Genomic DNA, 14,533 nt, shown 5'->3' on the forward strand with positions numbered 1-14,533 from the left:
AATGATGCCTAACTACTTGGCAGTTAGACTAGTGCTGATATTTCCAAATATGCTTTCTTGTCTCTGACCTGCTACAATTAGGTCTATAGGCTTATGTAACATTATGAAAAACTTACTCCAAGCTGTAACAAATACATAGGATGTATAGAGTTCCATTTTGTTACTTTACACATGTATTTAATGCCTGTTGGTAACAAGAGACTGTACTAGTAGTATGAAAGTGTATAATTACGACTGAGGGGCTCTTACCCTCATGGAACTTATGATCTAATGAGGGGAGTGACTTGGATAATGACTGTGCAATTTGAGACAAGATGATACAAATGGTAATTTGGGCCCATCTAGCTGGCTATAGTTAGTGGTTGGGCTGCCCCTTTTCCACCTAGTTTGGGAATGGTAGTGTGGGTTCAGAGCTGCTAGGAGACCCAGATCTGGTTCATTCTTCTCCCTGTAAAATGCCCGCTTTGGCATCTTAGTATATTATGGGCATTAATGTCTGAAAAGTCACTAGAAATCTTCAGATGCTAGTTGCTGTAGAAATGCAAGGCAACGTATAATATTTCTTTCAAATCCTAAGACATTGTCTCCTTTGTGGAAGGCTAGATGATTTTTTCTTTTTTTGGCAGTTAAAAATGTTCACTACATCTTCTTACATTATCAGTCATAAGTGAGGTGGTTGGTTCTTTTGTAAATAACGCATCTAAGATAAAGTGGATTTAGTATCAGCATAGGCTAGTTAGCAAAGCATGGTTTGTTTCCCAGTCAAGTCTATGCCTGAAAGCTCAGCTAGCCATCTCGAAAATGTATGCCTTTGGTTAAAAGAGAGCCCAAGAAAGAGCCAGCAGTTGTAACTCTTGGATTTTGTTGCCCACCACCAAAAGTACAATTCAGATATATATATATATGTATATATATCTCAGATTAGGAAATTCACCTTGGAAATTTCTCTTAGTGAACAGCTCAGTCCTGTGTTTGATCCTCTCATTTGCTATGAAAAGGGCGTTAAACAGCCTTGGTGTGTGCTCAGATTTGTGATAATAGCCTTGTGTGGCTGGTGGTTTTGGAGATTTTCTTCTGGGTTTGTTAGATCATGACTGTACATTGCTAACCTGGGGTTTTGTTTTTAAAAGGATGGCAGTGTTAATTTAGTTTTCATTGGAAAAATATAAAAATAAATAGTTATGTCTAAATATGAAATAGTTATGTCTAAATATGAAAATAAATAGTTATGTCTATTTTGAAAGCAGACAGAATAATACAGACATTATTATTCTACAGTTTGCAGGACCATCTATTAAGCCATGAGCAATTGAAATAAATATTTTTATCAGATATCATACCATCAGAGAAATAGGGCTTTACTGCAAAGCATTTTAGAGAAAAAACTATTACCAAGATGCATGGCAACTATAGATTAATAAAGCTCTGTGTCAAGGCAAGTTAATGAAGGTCACTCTGTATGTGTTCTTGTGTGCCCCTGTGTGTACATGCCTTCAAACTTGTGTGGGGAGTGGGGAGAAAGGGAGAGAGAAAGACAGGGAAAGAGAGAGGTAATCTCTCCTAGTACTCTGAAGAAAAGGGGTATTTAGGCTCTTTGCCTATCATGAAACAAGAGGCTTATGTCTTATTGCTGATGAATTGCAAGTGTAATTACAGAGCATTGCTAAACCACATTAAGTCCCAAGGGCTGAATAAAAAAATATACACCATCTACAAAAGCCATTTAAATTATCTCTGAAAAACCTAGTAGTCAAGTATGAAATCAGTCTGTGAGCAGATATAAACCATTGCTGGTTATCCATTAAAATTAGCTCCACAATGCTAAGGGCCAGTCTCTAAAAGAAAAATGAATGGCCTGTGGCTATATCTAATGTGCTACTCACAAGTTTCTGTACTGTTACAGAAATGAACAACAACAGTTGAACTTTAAAGATAAACAGTTTTTTTTATCGGATTCCTAGAGAATAATGGTGCTTATGTACAATTCTTGAAATAGAGCCTACAGCCGCCCAAAATAAAATAGTCTCTTTCAAGATCTTGGAAATAATGACATCATAGGCAGATTGAACCAGCAATCCATTAATAGTATCCTTTATAGAAAGCTGTCTCAGGGGAACACATGGCTAAGTAGATTGGCATTGTTTATAAACATAACATAATAAAATCCCTTTTTAAATATGTTTGTGGAATAGTAGGAGATACTTCCCACTTGGGAAACAAATACTTTAACCACAAGGATTCCTTGCAGGTCCCTACCCTTTCTCCATTGGTCTTCTAAAAGTGTGCTTAGAGGCACTTGATTTGAAGGTGAGTTAAAATACCAAGGACCTCCTGTACTATTCTTTCAACAGCAAAGCAGAATTATCTGGAATCATTAGCAGAGGATGATTGGTTGTGCCTTGTAATGGGTAGTAAAGAACCAAAGTAATATCAAGATAATTAAAACAAAACCATATCTGAACTGTCTAGGAAAATGGTTTGGTTCAAGCTTTATTAAGTTCCTAGTGTGGACCTGGACATAGGTTCTTCAGTTTCACTTGTGTCTTTGTAAAAGGTGTATTCCAGCTCCTCTTATGATGCCTTGATTAGTTGAATGACATTGAAACACTTCCAGTTTGGTGGGCAATAGGAATGTATGTCACATAAGCTGAGTCCTTTGCAGAATGTCTGTGATACTGACCATGGCAAATGTGTGTTATTGAATTTTTGGTCAGGGATTTTTAGTGCAATATAGAAGAGTTTAGTTTGAGTTTTAGATCCCAAGTATTCCTTTCTTCCCAACCCATATTATACTTGGTCAAATAAAGTCAGGGTAATCAGGCAGCCTGAAAGGAAGCAGGGCATCTACCTGCCTCTCTGGTCAGATGGAGTAATTAGGAACAAAAAAGGCCACTCTGTTGTTAGCCACACCTATTTATCAAGAACAAAGGAGCATAGCATTTTAAATTCATTTGAGCTGAAACCCTGGCTGGCTCAGACTCTTACTTGTCTTATCACGCAAGATCAGCTTTGTATATCATTTTAAAGAGGTCGTGTGGCGTGTTTTCCTGACTTCTGTCATCTCAAGTTAAATATGTCATCAGAAAATATATATCATCCAGAAAATGGTGGCTCTCTCTTCCTGTGAGACACTCTTTTTAGAAATTTGTCTTCTAGGTATTTCTATTTTAAAATGTTCAGTTTCTCTGCAATAACTTTCAAATTTCATTATTTTTACCAAGCTAGATTTTGTATATCTGTATACATATTTATGTAATAATCACTTCATATTTGCACATAGTTTTTGAACCCAGAAAAGTAAAAGAGAAAACTAGTGACTTGTCTCTGGTGGCAAATTTTCTCTGTGACTAAATTAAAACCATGAACCTGTCCAGTACAGAATAATGCCACTGGTGAAGTCAGTCTTAAATTCACTTTAATTCTAGAGAAACTGTGAATTTAGAAGGACCAAAAGTCAAAATGCAAAAGATAATGCAGACACATTAGCACTGGTCTCATATTCCAGTTCAAATATTTACTCTAGTACCGATAGTATCTCTGAATATACTTTATCCTTGACATCACAATTACTTTTTCATTGTACCTTGTTCTGTAGTTTGACCTAAATAGGAAAATGTAAGGTTTATGAAATTGTTGGTGATAGTGACAAACCATTTATTACTTAGTATTTTCACTATCATTATTACTGAAAAAATATAGAATTGGTCTTAATTCATTAAGATAATGCAAGACATGACACTTAGCAAAACAAAAGCGATCTCCCGTTCAAATCAAAATCAAACCAATTGTTAGTTGTCAATCACCTGTGCAGATGGAGAAGCTATTAATTGATAGTAACCTATTCTTGAGTAATTACAGACTGTATATGTTTGAGAGAATTTAGAACAAAATAAAATTTTTAAAATTCTCTACCTAACATGATGTAACTTAGAGTGCATTACTGAGAGTAATAAACATACTATAACCACTAAAGGGCCGGAAAGCATTGATAGATAATTTTTCAGCACAACAGTTAATGAGTAGACCCCTGTTTTTGTTTTTATTGTTCTTAGGTTTGTTCATAGTAAATGTTGTGGAAACAAAGTGATAATGCTAAGTCATGTTTGGAGAGTTGTAATGTTCCTAAATTAGTACCAGGTAATACTTGATAAGTTTACAGAGATATAGTTTTAAAGGGATTTGATTTTCCTTGAATTCAAACTGGGGATTCATTTGGAAGGTACTATTAGTACCTGACTTGTGCTGGGGTCAGGACCTTATGGAAGGACTTGAATTAGAGTAGGAAAATACCTGGAGACAGAAACATTCCCTTGGGGAGTTCATGCTTTTCCAGTTTACTTTATCCTCCCAGGGGAATGAAAACCAAATATACTCAGATGTAGACACAAGATACTAAAGAATAATGAACTTGGCCAGGCGCAGTGGCTCATGCCTGTAATCCCAGCACTTTGGGAGGCCGAGGCAGGTGGATCATGAGGTCAGGAGATCAAGACCATTCTGGCTAACACAGTGAAACCCCGTCTCTACTAAAAATACAAAAAAAATTAGCTGGGCGTGGTGGTGGGTGCCTGTAGTCCCAGCTACTAGGGAGGCTGAGGCAGGAGAATGGCATGAACCTGGGAGGTGGAGCTTGCAGTGAGCCGAGATTGCGCCACTGCACTCCAGCCTGGGCCACAGGGTGAGACTCCATCTGAAAAAAAAAAAAAAAAAAAAAAAAAGAATAATGAAATTCAGAGCAAATAAGCTCCTAAAACCCAGACTGGATCTTACAGCTAGCTACCTCTGTCACCTCCCTTTTTCCTTCTTCCAAGACGTAAAATGTGGCAGGGAGTAAGGTTATGGTGTCTCCTCGGGAACTGGCCCTCCAACATTTGCCCACCTTTATCTTCTGCCTGCTTGGGAGAATATGGAACATTGTTTACCCTAACAGCACACTCCAACTCTGTTGAAACTGCCAGATCTATGGGATGGTTTCTCGGTTAATTATCATAAAAACAGGAGAGTGCATTTTGTGACTGAGGTACACACATGTAAGAAATAAACACCAAGGACATCTCGATGTTAAAGCAGCTAACAAGTCATTGTTATGGGCCATTAAAAATCAACAGCCAAACCTGTGTCAATTCCAAACTCTGAGGAGGCTGATCACCTGACCACTACAATCATCAGGATAGAATTTTAAAATAAGATTGTAAATTGTTCACTAAAACACTGTTAGTGGGGAGGAGAAAATAGAGTTTCAATGTGGGAAAAGCAAAGGGACTTACATATTTTTATAATATTTGAAAAGCCATTAATTACTGCCTTCACTTTCCTTTTTTGAAAATTGCATCAGGGTTTTTGGGAGGTAACTTCCTTCCCTCCAGAAGAGAAACCCCTAAAAACGATCCTCACACAAAACCTGAGAAAACATGAGAGCAATGCTTTTGTTTCTAAGATGTTAGAATCCACATATTTATTAGGTTTTTAGACCTCTTCTCCCTCAACTCCTTTTTTTTCCCTCCTTTTCTTTAGGAGCTGTGAAATTAGTTGTAACTGAAAATGTCTGACGGTCTGGATAATGAAGAGAAACCCCCGGCTCCTCCACTGAGGATGAATAGTAACAACCGGGATTCTTCAGCACTCAACCACAGCTCCAAACCACTTCCCATGGCCCCTGAAGAGAAGAATAAGAAAGCCAGGCTTCGCTCTATCTTCCCAGGAGGAGGGGATAAAAGTAAAGTATCAGTGGCCGGGCATTGAAAATGGGCTAGTTTATTCTTTCATTTTCACTTTCTTTCTTAGGTAGTTGTTTCTTGAGGATTGACTGTTCAGGGCCTGCCGGCCCTTTACATCTACGTCTTCAGAGGTTGCATTTTGTCAGAGAATAATGTTTGATTGATTTACTGTGGGCTGACAGAAAATACATTTACACTATGTTTGCTTTTCACATAAAATTAAATTCATAGTGTTAAGCCAAGGGTAATCATAGCAACAGTACTGTCTTGAATATATCAACAGTGACTTTCTTTCTGATAATGTAGAGTAGAATTTACAATAATCCCTCCCTAACTATAAGTTGTTCTTTTTGGAAATTTGGGTATAGGTAGGTTTACTTCTGTATACCTTTTTGATAACTGAAAATTTTGAATTCAGTATATGAGAATCAGTCCACGTTGCCACAATATTGTCTCTCTGACTATATTGTAAGTGGGAAGGCATTTCTGAGTCATTTGTTTCCATTATCATTCTTCAACCTGTTTTCCCCTAGACAGCCCCATGTGTACTGAGTAGCACACCAATATATTATAATTTATCCTTCTGGTGTTTGTAATACCATTTGGTGCTTAAATGTCATATGCTAATGCTTTGTGACGTGCAGGGATATGAAATCTCTAGTAAGTAACTTTCAGGTTACATTAATTAGCATAAAGCTGAAACATGGCTTCTACAGATATGAAGCAAGTACAAGGGCACTGACACCATAGAAACTTGTCAGAAGGGCAAGAAGGGTGATGTCTTTAGAAGAGAAACAGGACATTCTCAATCTACTTCTTCAAGGTAAAATAAATAGCTTTGTAGGTCACTTATATAGTGTTAATCAATCTACAATTCATACCACAAAGAAAGCTGAAACTATTAGTATGGCCAGTACTGCCACTTGTACACCTGCATAACTTAAAAGATGCTTTGTTCTTCATGACCCAAGGATGGAAAAGATGGAAATGAAGTTAAATCTCTGGATTGAAGATAAACTGAAGAATAATGAACCACATTCCATGCAAGAGATTTGTGACTATGCAAGAGGAATTTTCAGAGACATGTCTTTAGACACTGAAATGAATCCAGAAAAAAATTTGTTGGGAGTAAGGGATGGTTTGAGGAATTTAGGGTGTACCATAATGTGGAGACCAGGTCTTATTTGACAGTTATGCCAAAGAACAAACAGTTCCTGCAGCTCTCATGTTGTATTCACCACAAATTCAGGAAGTGGCTGAAGAAGGGGATTACATGCCTGCACAAATCTTTAGTGCTATCGAGAGTGTCAAGCTTTGAAACCCTTTGAATACTTCTGAAGAGCAAGCGCCCACTGATGCTGAGGTCAACAAAATCAGAGAAGCTGACATTTCCATTTTTTGCCAATACTTCAGGTGACCTCATAATGAAACCCTTGCTGCTCTACAGAAAATTGTGCCCAAACCCTCTCAGGGGAAATAAATGAGCCAAGTTTCCAGTGTACTAGCAAGCAAACAGAAAAGCCCAGATGAATCTTCCTCTCCTTAAGGGATGGTTTGAACAGTACTTTCTTGTGGATGTTCAAGACTACTTAAAAGAAAAAAAAATACCTTGAATTCAAAGTCCTGCTGATTCTTCAGTCTATTTGGTGCTTCAGGTACATTTGCCAATATGCATCCTCATGGTAAGGTTGTCTTTATAACTAGCCACATGTCTGAGATTCTTGAGCCTTTCAGTCAGTGTTTGATCTGGCCATTCAGGAAGGCTTATTATAAACTAATGTATAACTTTGTTCACAATCTCGCAAAGTTTCCACTGTCTGAAAATCCTAGTGCATGAGACTCCTACATCGTTATTAATGGCATATCCTTAATAAAAGTTTGGCTTTTGATTTTTAATGGGTTTTCAGGAGATAACTTCCCAAAGAGGCATTAGATAGTTTAACAGAGCCTGTCATTAATGTGACCTGTGAGAAGACTTGGCTAGAGGTGGTGAAATATCTTTCCTCTATCCCTCCCAAAGACAAGAAAAACCTATGGATGAGGATGAAAATTTGGCACAAGAGCAATCATTGGCGGAAGTTGAATCTGAAACTGTTGACACCAATTCAAGTTAATGCTGCTAGAGGCTGATCCTCAGGAAGCTTTCTTGTCTCCAGAGGTTATTATCATAAGTGATGATGAAGACAATTAGGAGGCTGTGGGACTGGAAACAAATACAGCAATAAGAAACAGGAGCAAAATTTTTAGAACAAGATTAAAACCTCCCTAAGAAGGTAATTAAAATTGGCATCTTTACATGTGTCAGATATTACCTGTTCAAAATTTGAGTGACTTAGAGTTCTATAAAGAGGTGCTATGATGCCATCAAACATAATCATATTGGACAGAAACAATCTTCAATAGAACTTAAATCATGTGCCATTTAATACTGTTGCTGGACAGCTGATAAAACTACCTTCTGACAAAGTTTGATTTAATTAGACTCTAATAAAAGGTCCTATGAGACTTTCTAAAAGACTATATTGGGAAGAAAGAAACCTCAGAAAAGTCTAAATTATCAAGTAGTACCATTTAAATACTCTTACTGGACAGCTAATAAGCTACCTTCAGACAAAGATTGAATGATTAAATTGAACTCCATACAGAACTGCTAAGGTGTCTTCAAAAAGGACTTGAGAAGATGAAAGCATCTTTAGAAGGGCCACTTAAATTCACTTGCTTGATAGAAATAAAGCCTCAAGCAAGTTGTTATAACTTCAGGATTCGACTTCACTGACTCTAAGAGTATAGACATCCATAATTTGAACTAATGAATAGTCCACTTCTGTTCATTGCTTCTCTGTCACCCCCATTTGCCACTACCATAATGAGTGATAGATACATCTTCATCACCTCTGGAAATCATCTCAGGATCTAAATGGAAACTGTATAAAGCCTATCATTTTTACTGATTTAAACTATGTAAACTCATTATTCTTTTTATGTAATGTGCTGTTGTTATTGTTTACCTGCATAAAAATATTTATGAGGGTTTTCAACAGTTTACTTGAGACCTCATTTTTGCCCATTTTTTTCCTTCCCGATATCATGATCTCCTCAGCTGAACTTTCTTACCTTGGGGGTTGTTCAGGAACTGACTCTCATGGGGAAAGAGGGATTACTATTTCTGTGTTCCTATCTCTTGGTAACTGCTTAACCACAGTCAGTCTTGAACTAATGGAAGGAGCACTGGACTTGGGTTCTTGAGACCTGGGTTCATGTTCAGTTCTGCCACTGATTATTGTGACATTGGGCCAGTCACTTGATTTCTCTGAGCCTCAGTTTCATCACCTGTTAAGTGAGGATAGTAATACCTGGCACAAATATCACAATATTAGTGATAATTGAATATAATTATAAGTACCCAATGGCTATTAAAAGTAAAACTAGGAAGTGCTGAATAACCATAATATCATTATATTTGTAGCATTTTGGACCTTATCAATGAACAACTGAGAAAACTAGGTTTTTGAATTCTTTTACTTTTTAAAGTAACTTCCTCCCATTTTTATGTCAATTATAGAAAATTTTAAAAAGAAAATTAAATGTGCCTATAATTTTATAAGCCGGAGGTAACTAAGTTGGTATTTTTCTTCTTAGTACCTCTTTGTCTCATCATAAATTGTTCATCAATGTCAAAAACTTGGAAAATAAAGATAAGCATATAGAAAAAAATAAAAACCACCCATAATCACAAATCCCAGAAGCAATGTTAATATTTTGGTGGATTTATTTCCAGTCTTTTTCTATGGCTATATGTGCACATATATAATTTTTACATAGAAAAAGTCATAATGCATACAGCTTTGTTGCTTTTAGCATTTTTATCATGAATATTTTCCTACATTTATGCAAAGTATTTGTAAATATCATTTTCAATGGTGTATAATATTTCATCATAGGATGACATCATGGTTTAGTTAACCATTTTCTTTTGTTGGATATTTGAGGGTCTTTCCAAATTTGGCCATTGTAATTTCACAATGTCTTTTTCATTACCTAACTGAAAATATTTGCTTTGGTGAAAGCAGAGGATTTTTTGTTGTTTGTTTGTTTGTTTTTGAAGAAGTCCTTTTAATAGCTACATTTCATTGACTAAGTGGAACTTCAAGAGACAGGTAGAAGAAAAAAAAAAAGAAACAGTAGATGTAATTTCAAGATTGAGGATTTATTTTGTTAGTGACTGTTCCAGAAGCTGAATTTTGGTGTTAGAGCAATTCAGGAGGGACAGTTTGCCACCATTTTATGATACTTTACTGTAGAAAAGTTTTCAGGATTTAGACCAGGAAAGAGACATCCTAACCATATGGGTTGATTTTATTTTATGGACCCTGTGAAGTCTGGGACTGATCAGGTTTCTCTTTTGTTGGCTACTAGAAAGCTTGGAGTCAAATGTGTGGTCAATGCATAGCACTTGTAATGGGACTCTACGGTATGTATGCACTTTGTATTAGCTTTCTGCCAGGCTCCATTTCGTGTTCCTATCTTTATTGTTTTTGTTTTTTCCTTTTACTTTCTTATCTACTTTGAATTTATGCTATCATGTTGTATTTTGTGTATTCTTGTAAGCCACCTGACATCCATCTTGGAACATGGTGGGGAATAAACACACTAATAAATAAATACATTAATAAATACATGAATAAATAAACCAATAAGGAAAAAACAATGAGGCAAATGAATGCAGCCAGGACTCTGAAAATTGCATAGTGCCTCCAAGAATAATCAATGTTAAGGACTTGAAGCTTGGAAGAACATATTGGAAAGAAGCAGGTGAGGCTGCGAGGCTGCATTTAGAGGTGACGTGTTCTGTGTGACGTCTGTGTCTACTGAAGCATGCTTATATGTCTTGTGTCTTCTGCTGCACTTGAGCATTAGGTGTGTTTCAGAGGATATGCAGTGCTGTGTAATGGACTGTGTCTTTAGAGGGCACAGTTCATGTGCATTTTATTTGTGGGGAATCTAGAGAGATTTGGGAGTTGGTGAGCCTGGGAATGATGTGATGATCCTTTTTCATGGAGGCATAGGAAGGAATCATTGTATATAAATCAAATCAAGACAAATAGGAAGTTTCCTACCATTTACTAACTAGTTACTGGGTGCCAAGCTATGTGCCAGGCACTTTACATGTATTGATTTAACACTTAACAGCCACTCTATATTATTCCCTTTTTACAGATGAGGCAATTTAAGCTCAAAGCATTTAAGTAGACAACCAACCTAGAATCACATAGCAAATGACAGAAGCCAGAGGCCTCCCAAGTCTCTCTAACTCCAAACCCTATGCTTACTCTACTATATCACACTACCTTGCAATAGGACAAAGGGAATATGTGGTAAACTATGTTCCCAGCATCTAAAAGCCAGGAGTGGTTTTCATTTTTCTTTAAGAAGATGATAGTGTGATTTGAAACATATCTGAATTTCAGAAGAGGGGACTTTTAAAAATTGCCACTCATAAGGAAAGAAAGAACTTTTTCACATATTTTTGAAAGAAACGATGGTGAGAAGATATTCTTGATAATAGAGATATGCTAACATTTGCTTTGGGTGTTTTGTAGGTTAGATTTTTTTGGTGTGTACTTTATAGGCTTGCATATTGCTTACTTTAAACAGCTGAAGTTCTAAGTAAGAGTGTTCATATATGTGAAAGAGTTCTTAAAGTACTATATAGTTTTGTTATTGTATTGAATATATATTGTTCTAATTCCTAGAGTATGTCATCTTCTATATACTCTATACAGCAGGAATCCTTGCTGTACAACAATTATATTAAAGAAAACTCTCAGTTATCCTTTATGGTCTTGTCAATCAAATGTTTTGGTCAATGCATATTACTAACTTTCATCTAATTAATGCACAATAAAATATACTTAGTGTGATAACAGTATGCAGTCTTTCTTTGGTGATACTGGAGACCCTTTGGATCTTGCAGTAGCTCAAAGTTATTATCACTGCACCAATAATGTGTAAGAGTGTCAATTAATTCAGGGTTCTGTTATCAGAAAGCCAGGTATCAGAGACTGCTACATCCTGAATGGTGCTTACATTCTTGGTTCTGCAAATGTAGCCCATCCAGCTTAGCAAAGAGTGTTCTTTGGAAATCACTGCCCTGCCCTTTTGGAAACCTGAAGGACATGGCATCTTGCTTGTCCTCTAGGGTCAGTGCTATGCCCCAATAGAAGAGTCTCTTGTACTACTCCTTTACTCCTAGGAAACCCGTGTTGAAATGGGAAGAAGGTGGAATAAGGACACACTCTCCCTATCTACCAGGGTCTGTGCTTCCACTTTAAGGCCAATGAATGGGGAAACTGGGCACAAATATGGTAGCCCCGTAAAACCAACAGACAGTCAAATGCAAGAGAAGTATGGAATGTAGGGTTGGGAGATGTTTACACTAAGGTAAAGAAGCCACAGGGAGAAATAAACTGAGAGGAAGTAATGACTGAAAGGGAGATTAGGAGGTGGAGAAGATACAGAGGATGGATGGAATAAGAGGGGAAGACAGAAGAGTGCTGTATCAAACACGCAGTTTGATATGCTTTAAAAAATGGAGTGTTGCAAGAAGAGGAAAATTGACAAAGGCTAAGGGATATGAAGTTGCTTTCCCCATTAAGGCAAATGAGGCCTCCTTTTTCTCCTCAGACTTTTACCCTATATAATTATCCACATGATCAGAAGTGTCTAGTTAGGACATTGCCTCATCTTTGCTTTTTGTTTTCAAATGTTTCCCATCAAAGTTGTTGCATATGTCAATTGAATGCAAATGAAAGTGGAACCAGTATGTGTTGCCTAGAGGGAGATGAGTAAGAGGTAACTTCCTAATGATTTCCCAGAATAATCACTGTTGCTGAATGTTTTTGAAGATGATACCACTGAAGGTGCTAGCTGTTTGCATGTGTGAGTGGGGGTGACTTGAAGGGCTCACATGTGACTATCATTTTACTTCCCCCATCCCATCATCCTCACGGAACATCTGACCTGTGAATTGGGCTTGTGGTCACTCTTGCAGAATCAGGTACCACATTGAGTTTTATCTGTACATTAAAGCCTGCTAATTTGTGGAGGACATATGTTGTTTTCCATAGCCACTGAAGACCTAGCAGGAGAAACTGGGCTTAATATTCCACCAGAGAGAATGGAACTAGACATAAATTCCAGATAGGCTAATTGGATGCTATAGGTTACTAAGAGTGACATTTTCTAGAATCTTCATTAGATATCTCATGGCTTTAGCAAGTTCTACATGAAGGCAGGAGAATGGACCTTCCACCATGGGCCTTCCCAACTATATGCTTTTGAGATTTGCTAATATAATAAAAGATATTATAATAAGAGCAGTGAATGTTTAAGATGGCCCAGTTTAATCCTCTTTTCTCAGTAGTTATACTTCTAAGGATATCACTCATAAGATGAAAGTGCTAGGTCTAAACATAGTCACCCTGTTACTTAGTATATTGCCATAAGATGATGTATTTTGGAAAGCCGTTATAGGTGTATTACAATGTTCAAAACCTCTCATATCAGTTACCTTCTTCAAACTTCCTATGATGGAGGTAAGGCAGGGATTATTCCCATTTTACAGAGGAAGGCAGAAGTTCAGAGAGGTTAAATGACTTCCACAAATTTGCTCCACTACTTAATAACAAAGCAAGGCAGACCTAGAATTTGGATCCCCCAACTCCTAGTCCAGTGGTAGTTGAAGACTATACTGCTTACATAAAATGAGAGTAGCTTGTTTTGTAAACAGGTTTCAGCCAATGGAATATGCAAAAATGGAATTTTTACAGAAGCAAGTAGAACCCAGGTGCCTCAGTGGTTACAACAGTAGTCATACCTTTATCCTGACAAGTTTTTCCTCCTGAGGGCCTAATTTGCTAATAGGAAGTAACTAGCTTTTGTAAAAAAGAAAAATATGGAATATTAAAATAGAACACAGGAGTGGTGCACCTATCATCCCTCCCCTTAGATTCATTCATGATCCAGAATGTAAAAGATATTTGGGCCGTCTTACTCATTTAATGAACACCTTCCTTTTCTGCTCAGAATCAATATGTATTCGCCCAAGATGCTAAGTTTATGCCAGAAATATGTATGTTATGTGGAATTTCTTTTAAAATTCTTATTCAGCGTGTACTGTCAGTTGCTTTAAATACTTACTGCCAACAATAAAATCTATTTTTATGCCTATCTTTCTATTGTAGTCACCACATATACTTTCACATATTTCCAATGCAAAAAAAAAAATAAATTTGTAGGCCCACACAATGATAGTCTTTATACCAAAAAAAATTTTAGGTGTAAACAAAAGAACTGATCTCTCCCTGTGTACAGGGAAATGTACTTCTTGTAAATCCAGGAGTTAAGAAATTCCTGTGGGTTCCCTCTTGTAATATGCCCCCAAACAGGATGTTTGTTTACAGAGCAGATGTCTCAGGGATTAGAACATGCTTTGCAGAAATCAGTCCCTCTGGAACTATTGCTCTCACAAATGAGTGCCTGCCTCTTTGAAACCTGCAGGGCTGCTGTTGTCATAGGAAGAACTATTCTGAGACACTTACTGTTACCTAAGTATAAGGAAGGCTTCAGAAGGCTTCCCTAAGGAGGGTTATGGCACAGTGTGCTCTGTGACCCACAAATCAGAGGATGAAGCAAAATGGCATTTTTTTTTAATAAAAAAAGGAAAAACCACAGTACTTAATTCACTTTCCTGGTAGCTAAGTAGACAGTAAGGCATTTCATTTCTTACAGGCCAAAGGCAACATTTTGTAAATGAC

The 14,533-nt window shown here is 37.0% G+C and overlaps 1 protein-coding gene across 42 annotated transcripts in view, besides 1 other annotated feature; it reads left to right on the forward strand.

Moving 5' to 3' along the window:
• The window catches only part of PAK3 (p21 (RAC1) activated kinase 3), a 282,965-nt gene that overhangs the window by 173,166 nt on the left and 95,266 nt on the right, over positions 1-14,533 (forward strand). For 35 of the 42 annotated variants that reach the window (NR_136747.2, NR_136748.1, XM_047442148.1 and 32 more), the window contains one exon: positions 5,515-5,716. Coding sequence is in view for 33 of the 42 variants with exons in the window: in XM_047442148.1 (XP_047298104.1) it covers positions 5,542-5,716 (175 nt within the window). In the remaining 9 variants the exon portion in view is untranslated. Of the gene's footprint in view, positions 1-5,514; positions 11,642-14,533 lie in introns of those variants that run through there. The other 7 variants (NR_136746.2, NR_136744.2, NR_136742.2 and 4 more) reach the window with 2 other exon arrangements.
• Positions 5,677-5,886: an enhancer, noted in NCBI's record as "active region_29857". NCBI's record gives its function as "activates an Ori minimal core promoter by ATAC-STARR-seq in GM12878 lymphoblastoid cells {active_cell/tissue: GM12878}" and the evidence as "EXISTENCE:reporter gene assay evidence [ECO:0000049][PMID:35858748]".

The sequence above is a fragment of the Homo sapiens genome, chromosome X (genome assembly GCF_000001405.40).
Source record: "Homo sapiens chromosome X, GRCh38.p14 Primary Assembly".
NCBI classification, from domain to species: Eukaryota; Metazoa; Chordata; class Mammalia; order Primates; family Hominidae; genus Homo; species Homo sapiens.